This window comes from Homo sapiens, chromosome 4 (genome assembly GCF_000001405.40).
Source record: "Homo sapiens chromosome 4, GRCh38.p14 Primary Assembly".
Classification (NCBI taxonomy): Eukaryota; Metazoa; Chordata; class Mammalia; order Primates; family Hominidae; genus Homo; species Homo sapiens.
The window spans coordinates 1,537,731-1,558,944 of NC_000004.12; the positions used below are offsets into that span (position 1 = coordinate 1,537,731).

Below are 21,214 nucleotides of genomic sequence, written 5' to 3' on the forward strand. Positions count from 1 at the left end.
GAGGAGCCACTGGTCCTCAGAGGCAGTGAAGGGGCAGGAGGCAAGCTTTGTGCTGGGACATGCAAGTCCAGCAGCTGGGAGAGTCCAGGTGTGGCAGGGGCAGCCCCGGAGCAGACAGGAGAGGCCTGGGCAGAGGAACGGCTGTCCTGCTGCTGGGGGCAGGTCCATGCTGGGGCAGGGGAAAGGCCAGGGCACCTTGAGACTCAGAGAGCCTCTTGGGGTTGCTGAGCCCCCTCCAGCCCAGCGTGCCTTGGGGGGTGCCTGATCCCTCAGCCATGCCCCTGACCCCCACCCCTGGCAGTCCTCCTGGGTCCTGGGAGGTGCTCATTGGTGCTATACCTGTGACCTGGGACTGGTTGGATGACAAGGTCGAGTGGGAAGGGCTGGGGATGGGGCTGGGTCCACCCCTGTAGCCCTTGGCCCCTGGCCTCCGCTCTGAGGTTGGAGTGGATCCAAGAGTCGTCTGACCCAGAAGCCCCAGAAACACCCAGCCTCCCCTCCCCCCAGCCTCACCAGTGCCGGGAAAGGAGGGGCTGCTGACCGGGACCCACGGACACGCGGAAGTGCTAACAGGTGCCCGGGCTAGAGGGAGGGTTCCAGCAGTGGGAGGGCAGTGGTGGGAGGGGAGAGGTGGGAGGGGAGGGGTGGGAGGGCAGAGGTGGGGGGAGGGGTGGGAGGGCAGGGGTGGGAGGGCAGAGGTGAGGGGAGGAGTGGGAGGGTAGAGGTGGGAGGGCAGGGGTCGGGGGGCAGAGGTGGGAGGGCAGGGGTGGGAGGAGAGGGGTGGGAGGGCAGAGGTGGGAGGGTGCAGGAACATCCCCCTTGCATTCCGGGACCAAACCGAGGGTCAGGCTGCTATTTCTCGTGGCCCAATAACGAGATGCAGATGAACTGGGGAGGAAGAGAGGTTTTATTTCTGCAACTGGTTACAAGGAGAAGGCTGGGAAATTATCACCAGACCAACTCAAAATTACAGTTTTCCAGAGCTTATCTACCTTCTAAGCTCTATGTCTACGTGTAAGTGTGCATTCATCTCAAGACGTAAGTGATGAACTTCTCTTCATCTATAACGAAGGTCTGAGTCCTGAAGACCTTCCTCTGGAGCCTCAGCAAGTTTAAGTTTACTTAATCTAAATGGGTCCAGGTGCTGAGGTGATTGCCCTTATCTTGTCTCCTGCTAAATCACGGAGGTTTGGGGAGTTCCTTCAGACCCACAGTAAAACTTATTTAATCCTAAATGGGTCCTGTGAAGAATTCCTTCATCGTCTTGTCGCTTTAAGGCCCAGGCAAAACTCTGGGCCTGGGCAAGAGTTTTGGGCCAGGCAAAACAAAAGGCCTGGGCAAAACTCTGGGTGGGCTTTTGTTACACTCCAGCGTTTGTATCAGGGCACTGGCTTTTAATATTTAACTTCACTGCACAGTCAGTGCTGAAACAGGTGTTGTGGAGGCCTGCGTTAGTGAGACCTGGCCTGCCGCACTTGGAGTCCTAGCGTAGCTCCCAAAGTCAGGGAGGGACGGGACCCACAGACATGTGGCCGCAGGGAGAGGCCCCATGGGGCGTGAGGCCTGGTGACCCCACACGGCCCGGGGACCAGGACAGCTGCAGCCTGACCTGGAGAGGTGCCAGTCCCAGGAGGCCCCGGCACTGGGTGGGAGCACAGCCCCAGGCCCCACCTTGGCTCCCAGGGGCCTGGAGCCCCCCCAGCTGCCGTCTTCAGTGATTTGGAAGTGTAGAAAATGGGATTATCCAGGAACAGATGTGCACAGAGTGGGTGAAATGGAAAGCCTGCCCGCTGCGCCTGCCTTTGATTACCTCTGACGGCCACGCTGTCCACGCCCCCCCAGCACCCAGCTAAATTCAGCCCCAGCCCCGCCAGCCAGCGCCTCATTGAAATTGAATTGATACTTTGTGAACTTCATTTGTGAATAATGTGATCTGACAGGGACAAATGTGACGGGGAATTGTTTTCAAACCTCCTCCAAATGGAACTTATTATTGGGTAAATACAGATTCCTTTGTCTCCTTCCACCCTGGCGTCCTCGGGCCTGAATATGTATCAACCCCGGAGGTAACTGAATTGATGATGCAGAGGGTGGGGGCCAGGGTGGGGACCCTCCCCAGACTGCAGGTCCTCAGCGGGCGGCAGCCGTGGTGGCCCTAGGAGGCCACCCTGCCCGAGCACCCGCTTGGCCCTGCGGCCGCCGTCAGGCCTCAGATGTCTTACATATTAATTTCCCGCTGCAGAACATTTGCCGAGCGCAGCTCAAACCCAGTTAGCTGGATTGATGAAGGTGGCAAAAGGATACGACACACGCTGATTCCACCTTTTCAGCTTCGATTAGCTCCGGCCGGGAGTCTGTCCCCGTCAGAGCTCCATCACGCGGCCGGCGGAGAACTGGGGAGGGACCGGCCGCAACAGTGCCCAGGAAGGCTTCAGTGCCAGGCCATTATCCTAACAGGCCGCCCCCCAGAGAGCCAGGTGGGGCCCGGGGCATGGCAGAGGCAGCCCGAGAGCCTCAGACGCCCATCTGCGATGGACAAGCATTTGCCCCCCGTGGTGGCCCGGCTGCAGCCCCTTCCTGTTCCTGCCTTCCGTGTCCACAGGCCTGGGGAAGCCAGGCCCCGGCGTGCCCTGTGGACACGTCCCACAAGACCCCAGGGACTCCCTCTCCCTGCCAGGACACGTCCTTGGCTCAGGCTTAGGCTCGGGTGGGCCGGGGGTCCCGGCTCCCCAACTTTCTGCCGTGCAACATTGACATTGGGGTCATAAAAAGCACCTGTGTCTGCCCCGCGTGGCTGCAAGTGTCCCCTCGTTTAAGCGCCCAGACGACAGCATGAGGAAGGACAATGACCTGCCCTTTACAGACGAGGAAACTCGGTCCTGTGTGGGCGGGGGCCGCAGGCTGGTGGAGAGGACACACACGGCACCCTGCCTTCTCCTCATCAGCATCTCCGCGAGTGCAGCAGCCGAGGACAGAGAAGGACTCGGAAACCTCTGCCCTCAGCCGCACACCCCGGAGTGAAGGTCCCTGGAGCAAGTGAGGAGGAGAAAGCGGATGTGACTCAGGAAGACACTGCCGGGCCCCGGCCCCACCCCGGGCCCTGGAAGCCCCGTCTGTTCCGACAGCCCTGAAAAGACCACTGATTTCAGGCCCTTCCTGACGGGTTCTGGTGAGGACGGCGGCTCTAAGTCGGCCTCGTGGAGTCAGCATCTGTGTTCTCAGAAATGCTGCAGGTCCATCCCCAGGGACACTGGAGGTCTCTAGGCTTGTGCTTCGGAGGCCAGGGACTCCCGACTCAGCTCGTGGCTCAGGGACTCTGATTGTGCTGTTCCAGCTCACATCCCACACGTCTCCCTCAGCCCCCAGGAGGAGAGAGCAGCAGACAGAGCAGGGGCCACACCAGGCACCACCGCCTTCCACCTGCTCCGGACCCCAAGTGGGTACAGGCACAGGCAGAGTCAAGGAGGCAGCCCAGGCCTGCCCAGCTCGGGGCCCTTTTCCCTGGTGAGATGCCCTGAGACCAGGACACACCCCAGGCTGCCCGCCTTGGCCCACACCTCCGGCAAATCCACGGGCTCCATACGAGGTTCTGTAGCCTCCGGCCCATGCCTCCCTGCAAATCTGCAGGCCCCAGACAAGGTTCTGCAGCCTCCAGAGGACCCTGGAGGATCCCTCCCTCCATCACCTCACTTCCTCCTGGCCCCACTGACGTGGTCACTGTACCTTTTTATTTTAGTTTTTACTGGAAGCAAAATTCACATAACCTAAAATTAGCCATCTTACACGGCACATGTCTGTGTACTCGGATGTTTGCAATGGCACCCACCCAACTCCAGCGGTGCCATCCCAGGTTCTCATCCTCACCGCAGTCAGAAACCGCCGCCTTCAGGAGCCCCGCCCCACTCTCCTCCCCAACTGCCTCCCCCACCTCCCCCTGCCTTCAGGGGCCACGCCCCCACCTCCTCCCAGCCCGACACCCCCCATTCTGCTTTCTGTCTGGGAATCTGTCGTTCTGGACAAGTCATTTGGCCTTATTTCAGGGCTGAGCACAGGGTCCCCAGGTTTGTCTACACAGTGGCGTCAGCACATCCTTCCTTTTTAAGGGTTTTCCCTTATGAGTGCGGAATATTCACACTGCATTTTCCCTGTTGTGGACATTCCGCATTCTTCCCGGCGTGGATGCTCCGCACCCTCCCCCGGCGTGGACGCTCCCCATTTTTCCTGGTGTGGACACTCCGCATTCTTCCCGGCATGGACACTCTGCACCCTCCCCTGGCGTGGACACTGCGCATCCTCCCCAGTGTGGACACTCCCCATTTTTCCTGGTGTGGACGCTCCGCCTTCTTACTCATTCCTCTGGGCAGGGGTGCTGTTCGCCTCCCCTGCCTGGACGTTGTGAGTGGGCTGCATGAACAGGCAGTCGGGCACCATCTTCCTTTCTTCTCAGGGCCCTTTGGGAACCGTGCAGACACCCCGGCTATGGCTGAGTGGGGCTGCCTGGTGGCAGGAGCCCCGGGACCAGCTCCGTCCAGCCACACTCCCCCCAGAGTCCCACCGTGAGTCATCTCGAGGGCCCGCCAGGGCCAGAACCTCTAACAGGGATGAGAGCCTCGGTGGTGCCCCTGACTGTCCACTACTGGAGCAGCTGGAGGGTCTGATGTGTGGCCCCCAGGGCCCTGGGGTGACCCGAGGAAGCCCCCGCTCCAACCTCCCAAGCAGGAGCGTCACCCCAGCACAGCACGTTCCAAGGCTGTGGGTTTATCTTACAAACACGGGAACCAATGACTTAGGAAATTGCCAAGATAATAAAGATTTTTACGTGGCTTCACGCTCTGTACTCCGATGCAGTGGGGCTTCCACGGGGAACCCAGGGACAGCCAGGCTTCCCAGAGTGGCACCTTCACTCCGCCTCACCGATGCAGGTGGGGCCACCTCTGTGACTCACAGGAGGAGACATCAACAATGGCCACAAAAATGGACCTTTTGTCCCACCCAGCTCTGTGGGGGTTGCGAAATCTATCCTGGGCTCTGAGCAGGCCTGACCCACAAGCCTTCCTGACCGGCCATCACCCTGGGGGTCAGATGGGTGCTGCAGGCCCTGGGGTTCAGCCAGATACCGGGCACAGGCCTGGGGGCCAGTCGGGCTAGGACAAGAGTAGGCCTTGGCCCGGGGGGGTAGGGGGACTCCTGGAGTGCCTTAGGGCTTGATTTGGTTTGCTCTTTTGTCCCTGCAGCTTTAGAGGCGGAGGCAGGAATTCAGGAAAAGACGCTGAGCACGCATCACAGCAGCCCCAACCCAGGGAGCCCCTCAGATGGGGAGCCAGGGTGTGAGCCCCAAGACTCCAAGGATCTCGGAGGTTTCATCGGCTGCCGGGCTCGGGACCCCGAGGCCCAGTGCACAAGCCAGGGAGTGGGCAGGCAGGGCACCCGTGAGCCATGGGGTCGGACCTCCGGGCCTGCTGCTGCCCGCTTGCTGTCCTTACACTGCTGCATCCTGGGATTCCCATCTGAGACGACCGCCCAGTGTCCAGGCCACTAGGAACGATGCTGCGGGCCTGAGGTCACTGATGCAACCCCTTCTCTGGCCCTAAACAGAGTTCAGGGCTCACCGCCCTCATCACAAGCATGAAGAAGTGTGAGGACTCAGGATGGTGGGAGGGGCAGCTGGAGACCTGGGGTCCCAAGGGCCAGCTGCAGATGGTGGCATCCTTCTGGCTCTTTCTGCAGAAAGGAGTCTGATAGGTGCTTGCAGGGGCTGGAGGGACCGGTCTGGGCTGCCCTGACCAGACAGGGGCTGCTCCTGCCACTGCCAAGGGTCGCCTCTGCCAGCCCAAGTCTGCCCCTAGAAACAGAGCGAGTCTCTCCAGAAACTCCTGTGGGCAGGGCACGCAGTGAGACCTCCCAGCCCTGCTTGCCCGCTTGGCCAGGCAGTCACTGACATGTTGAGAAGCAGGTGCCCCGCCCCACTTCCCCCAAGAAGAGCTGAGGCAGGCACTGCTGTGTCTCAAGGGGCAGCAGGAGGAAAAGTCCACAGGCAACCTGGGTCCCTCTGTGGGCCCCACATTCCCACTGAGCAAAGCTGGCGGCACTGTGGCCCCCACCATGGACACCCCGCACCCACCCACTGTCCTTCCTGCTACTGAGGCCAGAACTCGGGGCCTGAGACACCCACAGCCAGGGTGTCCAGCAGCCACCACTGGCACGTTAGAGCTGCCAACAGCATGGATGCCTGGACAGGCGAGGACGAGGGTGTGAGCACAGCACACTGGCGTCAGTATGCCCACCCCAATCAGGAAGGAGCATTCCACCAACTCCCGGCCAGCTCCCTGCAGACTGGCCAGGATAATGAAGGACAAGGGAAGCCTGAGGACCCATCCAGGCTGGGGTCCCACAAAGGTGACCCCTCGACGCAGCCTGGGGTCCCGGAGTAGGACCTCAGTGGGAGCCCCGGCAACTCCCATTCTGTGGATGGCGCTGACCCCAGGCCCATCAGCGGACCCTGCTTCGGTGCAGTGCTGTCCTGCGGGAGGTGAGGGAGCTACGGGAACTCTCCATAGTATATTTAAAAGTTTTTTGTAAAATTTACTCAAAATTAAAGTTTTTTTTAATTTGAAAATGCCATTTGTCCTAGGTCAATGTGTGCAGCTCAGGAAGGTGTTGACATCCCAGCCCCCAGCACCTCAGAATGTGACTTGTTTGGAGACAGAGTCTTTACAGAGAAAATCAGGTTAAGGGGCGGTCAGGAGGCCGGGCCTCACCCCAGCACGAGGCGCCCTTATGGAAAGGGGATCTGGAGACAGGCACGCAGGGAGAGGCCGTGCGAAGATGAAGGCCGAGGTCAGGGCGGTGCTTTCTCAGGCCAAGGATCACCGAGGGCTGCTGGCCGCCACGGGGAGCTGGGGAGAGGATGGGACCGGTCCTGCCTCGCAGCCTCGGAGGAGCCGGCCATGCAACCGGATCCTAGACCTCCAGCCTCCAGAACTGCGAGGTGTATGTTGCTGTGGTGACGGTCTCCAGTCTCTGGTACTTTGCAAACTCACCGTGTCTAGGCAGATCTCGCATGTGCTAGGCCCAGCAGTATGAGAATATGACCTGTTTTCATTTCTGCCTGGAAAGGGGACAGCCTGGGCAGGGTGGTAGGTGCTGGGGGCACTCTCCTGCCTTGTCGCCCCCCGCCCTGGGGCTGCGTGGCCCTGATGACTCCCCCTGCGGATGGTTCTCATGGGTGCCCGCTGCCGCCGTGGGCCCCTGCACAGCTGGTGGCCGTGGCATCGCTGGTACAGCGCTGGCAGCTGACACTGATCCCACTCTCGGCCCACACAGAGCCCATGCTGCTCCGCTCCCAGCGGGAACTGCTTCTTCACTGAAGCACCAAGTCCTAGGAATGGTTCCCTGAGGCCACACCTATAATTTTATTGTTGTGTGAATATTCTGTTTGAACGGGAGATTACAATTTTACTTCCTGTTCAGTAAACATCCCCACCGCAGGCCCTACTGAGGGAGTCATTAGCGGCCGTGTGGGGAGTGGCGATTAACAGTGGGTTCAGTGCAGCAGGACAGCCGGACCCCTGCCCCAGGCTCTCAGCAGGACAGCCGGACCCCTGCCCCAGGCTCTCAGCAGGACAGCCGGACCCCTGCCCCAGGCTCTCAGCAGGACAGCCGGACCCCTGCCCCAGGCTCTCAGCAGGACAGCCGGACCCCTGCCCCAGGCTCTCAGCAGGACAGCCGGACCCCTGCCCCAGGCTCTCAGCAGGACAGCCGGACCCCTGCCCCAGGCTCTCAGCAGGACAGCCGGACCCCTGCCCCAGGCTCTCAGCAGGACAGCCGGACCCCTGCCCCAGGCTCTCAGCAGGACAGCCGGACCCCTGCCCCAGGCTCTCAGCAGGACAGCCGGACCCCTGCCCCAGGTACTCAGCAGGACAGCCGGACCCCTGCCCCAGGCTCTCAGCAGGACAGCCGGACCCCTGCCCCAGGCTCTCAGCAGGACAGCCGGACCCCTGCCCCAGGCTCTCAGCAGGACAGCCGGACCCCTGCCCCAGGCTCTCAGCAGGACAGCCGGACCCCTGCCCCAGGTACTCAGCAGGACAGCCAGACCCGCCCCAGGCTCTCAGCAGGACAGCCGGACCCCTGCCCCAGGCTCTCAGCAGGACAGCCGGACCCCTGCCCCAGGTACTCAGCAGGACAGCCGGACCCCTGCCCCAGGCTCTCAGCAGGACAGCCGGACCCCTGCCCCAGGCTCTCAGCAGGACAGCCGGACCCCTGCCCCAGGCTCTCAGCAGGACAGCCGGACCCCTGCCCCAGGTACTCAGCAGGACAGCCGGACCCCTGCCCCAGGCTCTCAGCAGGACAGCCGGACCCCTGCCCCAGGCTCTCAGCAGGACAGCCGGACCCCTGCCCCAGGCTCTCAGCAGGACAGCCGGACCCCTGCCCCAGGCTCTCAGCAGGACAGCCGGACCCCTGCCCCAGGCTCTCAGCAGGACAGCCGGACCCCTGCCCCAGGCTCTCAGCAGGACAGCCGGACCCCTTGCCCCAGGCTCTCAGCAGGACAGCCGGACCCCTGCCCCAGGTACTCAGCAGGACAGCCGGACCCCTACCCCAGGTACTCAGCAGGACAGCCGGACCCCTTGCCCCAGGCTCTCAGCAGGACAGCCGGACCCCTGCCCCAGGTACTCAGCAGGACAGCCGGACCCCTGCCCCAGGCTCTCAGCAGGACAGCCAGACCCCTGCCCCAGGCTCTCAGCAGGACAGCCGGACCCCTGCCCCAGGCTCTCAGCTGGACAGCCGGACCCCCTGCCCCAGGCTCTCAGCAGGACAGCCGGACCCCTGCCCCAGGTACTCAGCAGGACAGCCGGACCCCTGCCCCAGGCTCTCAGCAGGACAGCCGGACCCCTGCCCCAGGCTCTCAGCAGGACAGCCGGACCCCTGCCCCAGGCTCTCAGCAGGACAGCCGGACCCCTGCCCCAGGTACTCAGCAGGACAGCCGGACCCCTGCCCCAGGCTCTCAGCAGGACAGCCGGACCCCTGCCCCAGGCTCTCAGCAGGACAGCCGGACCCCTGCCCCAGGCTCTCAGCAGGACAGCCGGACCCCTGCCCCAGGCTCTCAGCAGGACAGCCGGACCCCTGCCCCAGGCTCTCAGCAGGACAGCCGGACCCCTGCCCCAGGCTCTCAGCAGGACAGCCGGACCCCTTGCCCCAGGCTCTCAGCAGGACAGCCGGACCCCTGCCCCAGGTACTCAGCAGGACAGCCGGACCCCTACCCCAGGTACTCAGCAGGACAGCCGGACCCCTTGCCCCAGGCTCTCAGCAGGACAGCCGGACCCCTGCCCCAGGTACTCAGCAGGACAGCCGGACCCCTTGCCCCAGGCTCTCAGCAGGACAGCCGGACCCCCTGCCCCAGGCTCTCAGCAGGACAGCCGGACCCCTGCCCCAGGCTCTCAGCTGGACAGCCAGACCCGCCCCAGGCTCTCAGCTGGCGGTCAAGGTCTCCTGCTTTACTGATAAACTTGTCTCCAGGGACCCACACCCCCTGCCCAAGGGCTCTTGATCCTGGGCAGACTTAGAAGCAGTGCAGGGCCTCAGTGTGGGCCCTGAGCCTCGGGCTCTAAAGGGTGAATGGCACGTTCACACCATCGTCTTTCCTGGAAACGACAGCGCCTGCCATTCAGGACATTACCCAGCCCCCGGCCTGATAGCCCATGACTCTCCGGTTCATAACACAAAATCACACTTTTCATCAAGAAGCTTGTATTCTCCAGATAATTCAAGAATCCACACAGCAAATCCAGCACAGACTGTTTGCTTCCCAACACCCAGACACATGTGCCTGCAAATTCCTGATGTTACGAAGACCTGCCCCGGAGAGGGGAGGCATCGCCCCAGGTAACCCCAGGCCACAACCCACATCCCACACCCCAGACGACCCCGGGACATCGACAGTCCACACCCTAGACAACCCCGAGGCACTGAAAACCCACACCCACACCCGAAATAACCCTGGGACACTGACAACCCACACCCCAGACAATCCCAGACAACCCCGGGACACTGACAACCCACTCCCCAAATAACCCTAGGCAACCCCAGTATGCTGACAACCCACACCCCAGACAACTCCAGGAGACTGACAACCCACACCCCAGCTGACCCCGCATCCTGGCTGTGATGGGGCTGCCATCCACACCGCCTGCTCCAAGGGCTCTGCTGCTCCGGGTTGGACCTGCACGGTTCTGGGTCACTGCAGGACTTGGGACAAGTGACTCAGTTCCCCATTGAGCAGGACAGCATCCCAGCCGCCCTGGGTTACTGTGATATCAGGAGTCAGTGGCCAACGTTTCCTGAGCCCTCTTTCTGAGGCCAGACGCCAGCATGGAGGCTGCAGCGAGTCCCTTCCCTCATCTGCACGAGGCTTGGGGACCCCATGGCCACCTGGCCCAGGTGTGGGCACCGAGGTGGGGCTGTGGGGTGAGCTCCCGGGTGGCCCATGGCTGGCAGTCGGCCGTCCTGAGGGGACTCTAGGTACGACACGAGGTCCTCCAGCCACAGGCATCAGCTTCCCCTCTCGGACACAGGCCAGCAAAGACAATCGCCGGATGTCTGAGTACCCCCTCTCCTTCCAAAACAAACAGAAAACCCGTCCACAGCATCTGTCGACCAAAAGAAGAACCGCCAGAGTCCAGGGAAGCAGCTTGCCGGGAACCTGCCAGGTTTGCATCGAATTCCCCGAGTTCCGGAAACCCCGTCCGTCCCAGGCAAACAGGCACCGTGGGTCACCCTTCCGGGACCCACATTCGCGCCAGGCCTAGGTGGAGGCCTTGGCCCTGGGAAGGAAGGCTGACCAGAAGCCTCGGCACCCTGCCCCCGCGGCCACGTGTGGACGCAGAGGCCTCTTGGGCGGTGAAAGGCTGCTCCTGAAGGCGTTTCTGGTTTTTCCATTTATAAAGCAGAGTGAGGTTATAAATCAGAAAAGTGTTTACAGGAGACACACAGCTGGCAATAACAGCTTTGAGGGGCCACTGCGTCTCTGTGACTATTTCATCTTCCACGCCAACTTAAACATGAGAAAAAAAGGCTTTGCAGCCCAGGGCCCCGCTGCACGGCCCAGCAGATCGAGAGCATTTGCAATAATTCATAGACTTCTCACTTTCATTTTTCTGCCGCCCAGGAATTACATTCCACTATTAAAATGCGCTGGGACTGCCTGGCCCGGCCGCTCCTGCGTGTTCAGACACAGGTCGGGCGAGGACCCTGTGCGGCCCCAAGCGGACCCTGCTGCGGCTCCGGGGCCGGGCGCTTGCCCCCTGCTGGACACACGGTGCACTGCAGGCAGCCCAGAGGGCCCTCCCCGCTCTGCGGGTGAGAAAATCCCGAGACAGGCGGGTTTCCTCTGAGATGGCCACGGTTCCAGGTGAGAAAGCAGGCGGGAGGGAAGAAGCTGGCGTCCAGGCCCCTGTGCAGTCACATCTGGTCCTCTGCGGCCCGTTCCTGTTCTTGGGATGCTGGCGGGGGCACTGCCCCAGCTCAGGGGCACAGAAGACCCAGATGGGTGCAGGCAGGAAGGCCAGCTTGGTCGGGGTGGTGGGGGGGGCCTGGGCCAAGGCCAGAGCCGGGACAGCCCCCAGGTGTGGTCGGGCCTGGACCTTCCCTACTGCAGACCCAGTGGGTCCCACTCGCCTTCAGTCGAGGCTTTGTCACCTCAGGGCAAGTTGAGGGCAGAGCTGGGACTCCCCAGATACTGCCTGATCTGCTCTCACTGACCCAGCCCCAGAGCCCCAGGCAGGAGGGATGGGCAGGGCCTGAGGGACAGGTCTCTGTGGTCCTCAGAGCCTCACCCATTCACAGTCAGGCATGGGGCCAGAGAAGGCCGTGCTTCAGTGGGACCACCCACTGAAGGCCGAAGGCCGGTGCCAGCCGTCCCCACAACAGGACCCGGAGGCCTCTCTGCCCCATCCTCCAGATCCAGCCTCTAGTGTGCACAAGCTGAGAGGGGATGCTGAGGGCAAGAAGGAGCGGGACTTGGGTGTCCTGTCCCACACGCCCCCGAGGGGCTGGCAGGGGAGGATGGGGCAAGATGGTGGAGCTTGTCAGGGGAGATGGGGAGCACATTTCAGCAGCTGTGCTCTTCTGGGACAGCACAAACTGTCGGGGAGAAGAGTGATGGCCGGCAATGCCCCTGGGCAGCGAGGGGTCCCGAGTCCAGGGGCTCAAATGCTTCGGGGCACGGTGACAATGCCACCTCCTCCAGGAAGTCTCCCCAGACTGCACTGCCCAGTGGTGACTCTGAGCTGACTGCACCTCCCCTGAACTCCCGCCCTAGGAGCAGCCACTCTCCGGCTGCATGACTCTCTAAGACTCGGGAGGTTTGGGGCGCAGTCCCAGAGGTTTTTCAGGAAACAGCCACTAAATGGATGAATGAATGATGAAACCTGCTGCTCAAGGGCTGCAGACCTGGGCTCTCCCTGCACTGCCCGGGCCCTCAGGGCTGCACCACCCAGGCTGGGTCGGGCCACACACCCCAAAAGGGCCCTGCCAAAGCCCTCCCACCCCAGAAACAGAAGAAGGGGCCGGCGGCCACCCCTGGGCCCAGCCCCGGCCTCCCCTTGTATGCCCCCAGCCCCCCACCAATGCCCTCCCCTGCCCCTGGTGGGTCAGAGATCTCCTGGAGGCTACAGGGAGCAAAGGCGATGCCCGCAGGTGGCGAGCGTGTTCTCAGGAGCAGGTGGGCAGGGGCCTTGCAGACTCTTCATTTCTTCCTTCCCTTATCACCGTTAGCCATTTTCATGGGATAGAGATACAGAGGAGCTCCCATTACAAAGCGCCATTAAACTGTCGTCTGTGCAACTGTGTGTGAAGAGGCATCGGATAACGGTCAGGGCTGTGCACGCCTGAGTTGCTGGCCCTGCACCCGGCCCAGCACTCCTAGAGAGAGGCCTCACCTAGAGAGACAGGCCTTCTTCGGCACCCAGCACCACTGCCCACCCCAGCCTGCCCCCCTAAATGACACTCACTGCCTGGGCAGGACAGCCCCGGGGCCCAGCACACCAGGAGGGCTCCGAACCCGGCCAAAGGTGGTGGGAAGACAGAGGAACCGTGAAGAACAGATGATAGTACAGGCTGGGGAGAGGGGGCTGGTGTCCCCAGAGGCAGGGCCACCCCCCCAACAGTTGAGGGGGCCACCCACTCACGGCGCCATGGCCAGTGCAGGGCCTGGAGTCAGGCCAAGCTCCCGTCTGCCCCAGCTTGGCATTCAGACCACCAATCCAGCGGCCACAGGAGTGAGGTGTAGCCCCAGCCCCTGGCGCTAGAGGGAAACTGAGGCTGGGGTAGGGGACCAGAGGTGAAGCAGGCCTAGACCCCACCCCGTCTCCAGGGGGAAGGAGCTGTCCTTGGACCCACCATTCCCCCTCAGTGTGTCTAAGGGCCATGGGGATTTAGGAGCCCCAGGGGCATGGCTGGGGTGGACGCTCAAGGCTGGGAGGAGCTTCTTAGGGTCCCCAGGGTCCACTCCACCTGGCCATGCCCAGCCCACAGGTGCTCAGGCCCCAGGCCAGGGCAGACTCAGTAAAGAGTCCGGTGGGCAGGTGGGAGGTGGGAAGGGGGTGTCACGGCCCAGTGTCTGGCCTTTCCAGGGATGGGGACCAGGCCTTGACGGAGGCTGGATGTGGTCAGGTGGGGCCTGGGCAGCAGGGCATGACTCCATGGGGGGCACATGTGGCACCTGGCAGGAGGTGGAGCTGCATCTGAGCAGAGCACACAGGAGCCTGTGTCCCTGCATGTGGGTTGGTGCCCATGAGGCCAGCACGTGCCTGGAGCAGCCAAGCGGGTTCCAGGACTCAAGAGGCAGCCAGGCTCAGCGAGCAAGACAAGGTTGCCTCCTGAGGACAGAGGAGGCCCAGCCAACCCAACAGATACCCCCAGACAGAAGGTCCCAGACTCACCTAAGAACCCCCAGACAGAGGGTCCCAGACTCACCTAAGACACCCCCAGACAGAGGGTCCCAAGCTCACCTCAGAGACACCCCCAGACAGAGGGTCCCAGACTCAGCTAAGACACCCCCAGACAGAGGGTCCCAGACTCACCTGAGAAATACCCCCAGACAGAGGGTCCCAGACTCACCTAAGACACCCCCAGACAGAGGGTCCCAAACTCACCTCAGAGACACCCCCAGACAGAGGGTCCCAAACTCACCTCAGAGACACCCCCAGACAGAGGGTCTCAGCCAACCCAACAGACACCCCCAGACAGAAGGTCCCAGACTCACCTAAGACACCCCCAGACAGAGGGTCCCAGACTCACCTAAGACACCCCCAGACAGAGGGTCCCAAGCTCACCTCAGAGACACCCCCAGACAGAGGGTCCCAGACTCAGCTAAGACACCCCCAGACAGAGGGTCCCAGACTCACCTGAGAAATACCCCCAGACAGAGGGTCCCAGCCTCACCTGAGAAATACCCCCAGACAGAGGGTCCCAGACTCACCTAAGAAATACCCCCAGACAGAGGGTCCCAAACTCACCTAAGACACCCCCAGACAGAGGGTCCCAGACTCACCTGAGAAATACCCCCAGACAGAGGGTCCCAGACTCACCTAAGACACCCCAAGACAGAGGGTCCCCAACTCTCAGGCACCCCTTCATTCACCCAGCTGTGACTGGTGGGCCTGGAGCCCAGGCCCAGGGCAGGTGCAGTGAAGACCCCGCCCAGACCCAGGTCCCCACACACACTGGCCACACCCCTGCCCTGGGCATGGCCTGGGCCGAGCGGTGGCAGAGGCTGCTGTCCAGGAGGCTTCGTCTAGCAGCTCCAGAGAGCTGGGCGCTGAGTGCGGCCTGCTCACCCCCTCTCCTCTCTCCTCCCTGAGAGTCAGTGGGAGGTGAGGGGAGAGGGCCTGGGAGCCAGTGGCCAGGGTCAAAGCCCAGCTCAGCCACCGGGCAGCCAGGGCCAGTCCCTGACGAATGAGGGCCACCTGGCCCGGCCACTACAAGGGTGGGGGCAAGGGTGGGGTCAGCACCCTCGCGACGCCCAGAAAGGCCACTAAGGAAGCCGCAGAGCCCAGGCCACCGAGCACAGCGGGGAGAGGAAACTGCCTGGCCCGAAGGAAGGGAGCGAGCGGTCCAGGGGAGGCACCGTCCAGGAGCCAGCGCCCGGGGCCCCTCCGCAGGATCAAAGGCTGTCCAAGGGCACGGATGCCTCCCCACTCCCACCCGGGTGCTCACCGACGCGCCCGCTCAGAAATACAATATTTGTAGGGTCTTTTTCATAAAGGTCTTTATGGGTTTGGAAATTTAAACACCACGGAGCCTGAGTTGAATTGGAAAGCAAACGTCTCTAAGCTTGTACATCTTAGAGCAAAAAAATTCAATTAAGTGGGATTTTAGCTGTTTCAATAAAATTGGACTCTCCCTCTTCAAGATAAGAGCTCTGTGGCGTAGAAGCACCTTTATGTGCCACGAGTATCCACTTCTCCGAAACGCGTAATCCCGGCTCAGGACACAATGCCCACAACAGGAAATCAATGCATAGTCGAATCAATTTGAAAATATAAAATAAACTAATATATGAGTGGAAAATTGACTTCCTATGGATTAAAAGCAGCACAAATAGTAGAAAAATCTAGCTTTTTAGCAAAAGGAAGCAGGTTGGGGGGCGGGGTCTGGGAAGGGGCCCGGGAAGCCCTCGGTGCTTGGAGGATGGCACTGGGGCCTAATCTAGCCGAGGAGAATACGGGGCACCCGGTCCGAGGCTCCAGGGCTGCCAGGCGGTACTGAGCCTCGAGGCCCCCGTCACCAGCGCACATAAATGCTGCTGGCATAACCATTGAGTGGAAGAGTTGATAACGGGACTGTTTTCAAGGGCGGTGTAATAACAACCCCTTCACAGGCACCCATGGCTCCTCTCCTCCACAGCACGGCTTGGGGTGATGGCGTGAGCTGCCTGCCCGGGGGATGCAGGGAAGAAACCCACAGGCCCGACAACATCTTCAATGATGCCTTCTCCACATCACCGCCCCCCAGCCCAGATGCCTGGGAAAGAATGCTAGAGGGGCAGCCCCGCCAGCTGGTGCAAGCATGGCGTGCAACGTCCACGAAGCTGAGCAGGATGGCCTGGACGACGCACCCACCACGGGGCTCCTGGAGAGAATGGGCAGCCGCCCGACGAGGCCTGCCGGGGTCTCAGCCCTGCACCTCCGCAGCTGTGGGACGCCATGCCTCCTCTGAGATCTCCGGTCTGTGCCGCCTCCACCCTTTTGTTCAGACATAGCTATCGCTCTCCCCTGAGCCCCCATGACCCACAGCCCCCTGGCCTGCAGGCACTCCTCCTCCAGGGAGCCCACTCAGTTGCCCCCCTCAGAGCCAGCTCCCACCCCCTCCCCGGCTGCCAGGCCACTCCCTCCCCGGCTGCCAGGTCTCTCCCTGGCCCAGACCCCACAGGCCCCTGACATCCCATGCGCAATTGGGACTCAATGCCTATGAGGCTGCCTCGCCCCGACCCCAGCAACCACCCCTCACCCTCTGTCTGACCTGTCTGACGGGGACCCCTCCTCACCAGCCCCCCGGTCTGTCTCCCCATCACCTCGGTATGTGGTTTCCAGGTGCCCTCAGGGGGCAGCCGGCGTCTCTCTTTTGGTTTGTTTATTTCCAAGCAACAGACAAAAGCGCCACTCCCGGGTCCCGCGGCTCTGAGGCTTCCACCAACAGGGGAGGCCAGGAGAAGCCCAGTGGGCAAGCCCCTCGGGCCGTACCCAGGCCCCCGCCAGGCACCAGCCCACCTACCACTGCCCAGAAACCCACCTGCTCATGCACCCACCCACCCATGGGCTCCCAAACACACCCCCTCACTACTGTCTCCACCCGCCCAATTCCTCCCCCACCCACCTATGCACCCACCTGCCCACTAAATCCCAAACCCAGCCACCCGTGCGTCCATCTATTCAACCAGAGCATGTCTGTCCACCCCCAGACCGCCTTCTGCCTGTGCAGCCACGGCCCCCACCAGCCTCGACCTGCCCGTCCCGTCATCCATTTATTTATGCCCCGCTTGCCGATGCCTGCGGCTGAATAACAACTCTGTGGGTCCCAGCATAGGGTCTGCGGCATGGAGCCTGCCTGGCATGGCCCAGGCAGCCGCCATCCTCACCAGCCCCGGCCCAGCCTTGCTCTGCTAGTTCTGGGGTAGTCCAGTTAGCACCCCCACTCCCCACTCTGACCCTTGATCCACTCAGCAAACCCTTGTGAGCTTGCGAAGATTAAATGAGAGAATAATACTGGCAGCTAATGCAATGCCCACAGGTGCCAACCATGGGCCAGGCGCTGATCCAAGCACCCTGCTGTGTGCAGGTGACAATGACGCTCAGAACTAGACCTGCCACAGAGTCAACAAGCGTGGACCGCCTGCGGGCTCCGAGCTGAGGGAGAAGCACACGCCGCCCCTGCCCTGTGAGCTGGCGTTCCAGGACAGAATCGGATATCAAACGAGCACACGGATACCAAGTAAAGGCCCCACCGTCACACAGCAGCCGCCGCTGGAAACTGAGTTTGGTGGGGGAGGGGCCTCTCTGCCCAGGGACTGAGACCCTGGGATGGTGACAAAGGCCAGCACCGGGTCCCACACGGAGATGACGCCATTTAACCCTCCCCAAGACGCCAGGGAAGAGGCGTCCTTGTTCGTCCATTTTACAGAAGAGTACACTGAGGCCTCCAGACGCTGGTGGGGACCTCCCAAGCCAGGCTCCCCATGTCTCTTTCTGGGCCTCCGACCACCGTTGATCAGAGAAGCAAATCTGTTGGGAGAAATCTCGGAGCCACAGAGCCCTGGCAGGGTGCTCCTGGTGGGGACCAGTCCGGGCTGGCCCGACACTTCCTGCACGCCGGCCTCCCTGTCCCTGTCCTTTCGCCTGCAGCCTCTGCCTCTGCCTATCTCCCTCTTGGCCTCACTCCTGGGTCCTGTCTCTCTCTGCAGACCGTCCTTCCCACTTCTCTAAGCAGCGGAGGCAGCCACTGCCTACGGCACCCGAGCAGTCCACACAGTGGACCCCGGGGAGGGAAGCCTCCATGTCCACAGAACAGTGATCACGAAGAGGGAAGCCTCCGCATCCACAGAACAGTGACCACGAAGAGGGAAGCCTCCGCGTCCACAGAACAGTGACCACGAAGAGGGAAGCCTCCGCGTCCACAGAACAGTGGCCCCCGGGGAGGGAAGCCTCCGCGTCCACAGAACAGTGACCACGAGGAGGGAAGCCTCCGTGTCCACAGAACAGTGTCCCCGGGGAGAGAAGCCTCCGCGTCCACAGAACAGTGACCACGAAGAGGGAAGCCTCCGCGTCCACAGAACAGTGACCCCGGGGAGGGAAGCCTCCATGTCCACAGAACAGTGACCACAGGGAGGGAAGCCTCCGTGTCCACAGAACAGTGACCACGAGGAGGGAAGCCTCCATGTCCACAGAACAGTGTCCCCGGGGAGAGAAGCCTCCGCGTCCACAGAACAGTGACCACGAAGAGGGAAGCCTCCGCGTCCACAGAACAGTGAACCTGGGGAGGGAAGCCTCCATGCAGATCCCTGAAGCCCGCACTCCCGACCGTGATCTGAAAAAGGGTCTTTGCAGATGTGGCTGAGGTAAGGTGCAAATGAGACCCTCCCAGATAAGGGCAGGTCCCCAACCAATGACCGTGTCCTCCTGAGAAGGAACACAGAGGTGCCAGGGAGCAGCTGGGGAAAACAGAGGCAGAGGCTGGAGTGGCCGCTCCAAGCCAGGGCACTCCGAGGGTTGACGCAGCCCCTGGACCTGGAGGAGGCAGGAGGGAGCTCCAAGCCTTCAGAGGGAGCCATGGGGCAAGTACCAGGTACCCCCTGGTGATGCTGGTTGGTGCCGGGTAAATTCCAGGTGGCTTCTGGGCTCCAGACCGTGAAAGCATGCTGCTGTTTTAAGCTCCACCCCTGCCCGTGGTATTCATTCCACAGCCCCAGAGCAAGTTCCCCTGGGGGCCGTCCTGTGACTCCCCCGGCCACACCGCACCTCACCCGGAGTCCCCAGCCCGCCCCACCCAGCCTCAGGTCACGCCTTCCTCTGAGCAGCCTCCCTACACTGCACCAGCTCCCGGGCCCCCTCCTCATTCCCTCCTCGGCCCCACCCCCTGCCTCTCTCCTGGCCTCACCTTGCCCCCTCCTCTTCTCCGGGGCGGGCGGCACCCAGGCCAGACACCTCCTGCCAGCCCATGCTGACGCCGGGGCTGTGCTCAGTACGGGCTCAGGATGGGCTCAGGACAGGCGAAGGCGGCCGAGACTCCCGGGCCGGCAGGCCGGTGCCGCGTCAGCAGCGGGCTCATTAGCGGAGTTAACTGTCAGGCATAAGGAGGGGGAAAAAGCTCAATTTGTAAACACTTGGTCAATATGAGGTAAAGCCAACAGGATGGATTTGGGACCACATTGGACAACGCCATCGGCTGCACCGGACGCCCAGCAACAGTAGGTAAATTAGGTCATCATTAAATTATCATGAGGAAAAACGCATAATCGGCACCAGCGCTGGTAGAAAGATTACGGTTATTTACAAAAACCATGCTGTTTGCAAATTTGTGCAAAATTATTTGTTCCTAGCAGAGTTTTATAGAGCTATCTGCACATGATCTCCGCCCGAGATTCCCAGCCCTGCATATTAACTAATGTCTGTGGTTTAATTGGAAATAGAACAGGCCACATTGTAAATCGCTTTTCTGCCATCTGTCTCTGTCTCCACACGGGGCCTGGGAGTGGAGGACACAGTGAACAGATGGATGACAGGGACCCTGCGCTGCCCGGCCCCACCCCACTCCCCGCCAGAGCCTCAACTTACCCCTGCACCGCCCGGCCCCACCCACTCCCCTCCAGAGCCTCAACTTACCCCTGCACTGCCCGGCCCCACCTCATCCCTCTCCAGAGCCTCAACTTACCCCTGCACTGCCCGGCCCCACCCACTCCCCTCCAGAGCCTCAACTTACCCCTGCACCGCCCGGACCCACCCACTCCCCTCCAGAGCCTCAACTTACCCTGGTCACGGCTCGACCCTGACGCTGGCCACAGCCACGGACACTGCAAAGAACCAGCCCCTGCACAGCCACACACAGGGTTGGGGGCGGCCCTCAGTGGGCTTGAAGCGGCAACGGGCAGTAGTGTCTTCAGACCTGAAAATTAAAGAAGGTGACGGAGGCCATGTCTCAGCAATGTGCGCACTTCGTGGGCCTTTCTTCAATCGAATTGACCATTAGAGCAAGGAGGGTGAAAAACGACCTGGAGCAAAGGGTCGGACCCGATGCCAGGGACTCCTGCGAGATTCTGGGTTACTGCCAGGTAAATTCCAGGTCCCAACGGTGCTCCCAGGGCTCAGCCTCACGCCTCACTGGGAGGCAGTGGGATGGGCAGGGTGGTTCCTGTCCTTTCCTCGGCATGACCCGGGCCGGCTGTGTCTGTCCGACCCTGAATCAGCTGGTCTGGGAGGTGGACAGAGGGGCTGGGAAGCACCGAGTCCCCTCTGGAGGGCCACCCATCACCTACCATCCCCGCCAGGCCTCAGAACAGCCCGGAGCCACACTGCGGAGGGGGAGGCCCCACGAGCCTACAGGAACTGTTTCCCTGGCTGATGCCTGCCTGGCTCACGAGGTTCCTCACAGTCATATTTGCATGTGTGGACAACAATGAGCACAGACGCCTTAACATAAAAAGCCCAAGGCAGGCCAGGCACGGCGGCTCACACCTGCAATCCAGCACTTTGGGAGGCTGAGGCGGGAGGATTGCTTGAGCCCAGGAGTTCAAGACTGACCTGGGCAACATAGCCAGACCCTGTCTCAAAAAAAAAAAAAAAAAAAAAGGAAAGAAAGAAGAAAAAAGGAAAGCAAAGGGAAGGGAAGGGAAGGGAGGAGAAGGGAGGGGAGCGGAGGGGAGGGGAGGGGAGGGGAGGGGAGAGGAGGGAAGGGAAAGGAAGGGCAGGGCAGTGCAGGGCAAAAAGGCCAAGCCATAGTCAGAAAGCCAGGAGGCACCTCCCTGTGCCCCGCCACGGTCTTAAACCCACTTCTCCTTCCTTACAGCCCTAGGACAGATGTGGCTGAAGGTCAGGCTCCAGACGTGACGCTGGGGTTTCCAGTGACAGCCTGAACCCAGTGCTTGGCCCTGTCTGCACTTTTATTCGGAGTGGGGCTTGGGCTAGGGGGTGTGTCCTGAGACGGGGATGGGATCTGGATGAACTGAGAT

At 61.7% G+C, this 21,214-nt stretch overlaps 5 annotated features.

The window, feature by feature from the left end:
* Positions 6,104 to 6,847: an enhancer, noted in NCBI's record as "H3K4me1 hESC enhancer chr4:1545561-1546304 (GRCh37/hg19 assembly coordinates)". NCBI's record gives its function as "activates a minimal SCP1, AML or CMV promoter by ChIP-STARR-seq in primed H9 embryonic stem cells {active_cell/tissue: H9 hESC(primed)}" and the evidence as "EXISTENCE:reporter gene assay evidence [ECO:0000049][PMID:30033119]".
* Positions 6,848 to 7,589: an enhancer, noted in NCBI's record as "H3K4me1 hESC enhancer chr4:1546305-1547046 (GRCh37/hg19 assembly coordinates)". NCBI's record gives its function as "activates a minimal SCP1, AML or CMV promoter by ChIP-STARR-seq in primed H9 embryonic stem cells {active_cell/tissue: H9 hESC(primed)}" and the evidence as "EXISTENCE:reporter gene assay evidence [ECO:0000049][PMID:30033119]".
* Positions 11,158 to 12,014: an enhancer, noted in NCBI's record as "H3K4me1 hESC enhancer chr4:1550615-1551471 (GRCh37/hg19 assembly coordinates)". NCBI's record gives its function as "activates a minimal SCP1, AML or CMV promoter by ChIP-STARR-seq in naive H9 embryonic stem cells {active_cell/tissue: H9 hESC(naive)}" and the evidence as "EXISTENCE:reporter gene assay evidence [ECO:0000049][PMID:30033119]".
* Positions 11,274 to 11,393: a silencer, noted in NCBI's record as "silent region_15131". NCBI's record gives its function as "represses an Ori minimal core promoter by ATAC-STARR-seq in GM12878 lymphoblastoid cells {active_cell/tissue: GM12878}" and the evidence as "EXISTENCE:reporter gene assay evidence [ECO:0000049][PMID:35858748]".
* Positions 14,110 to 14,280: a silencer, noted in NCBI's record as "fragment chr4:1553567-1553737 (GRCh37/hg19 assembly coordinates)". NCBI's record gives its function as "represses an EF-1alpha promoter that drives an FKBP-Casp9 reporter gene in an ReSE screen in K562 erythroleukemia cells {active_cell/tissue: K562}" and the evidence as "EXISTENCE:reporter gene assay evidence [ECO:0000049][PMID:32094911]".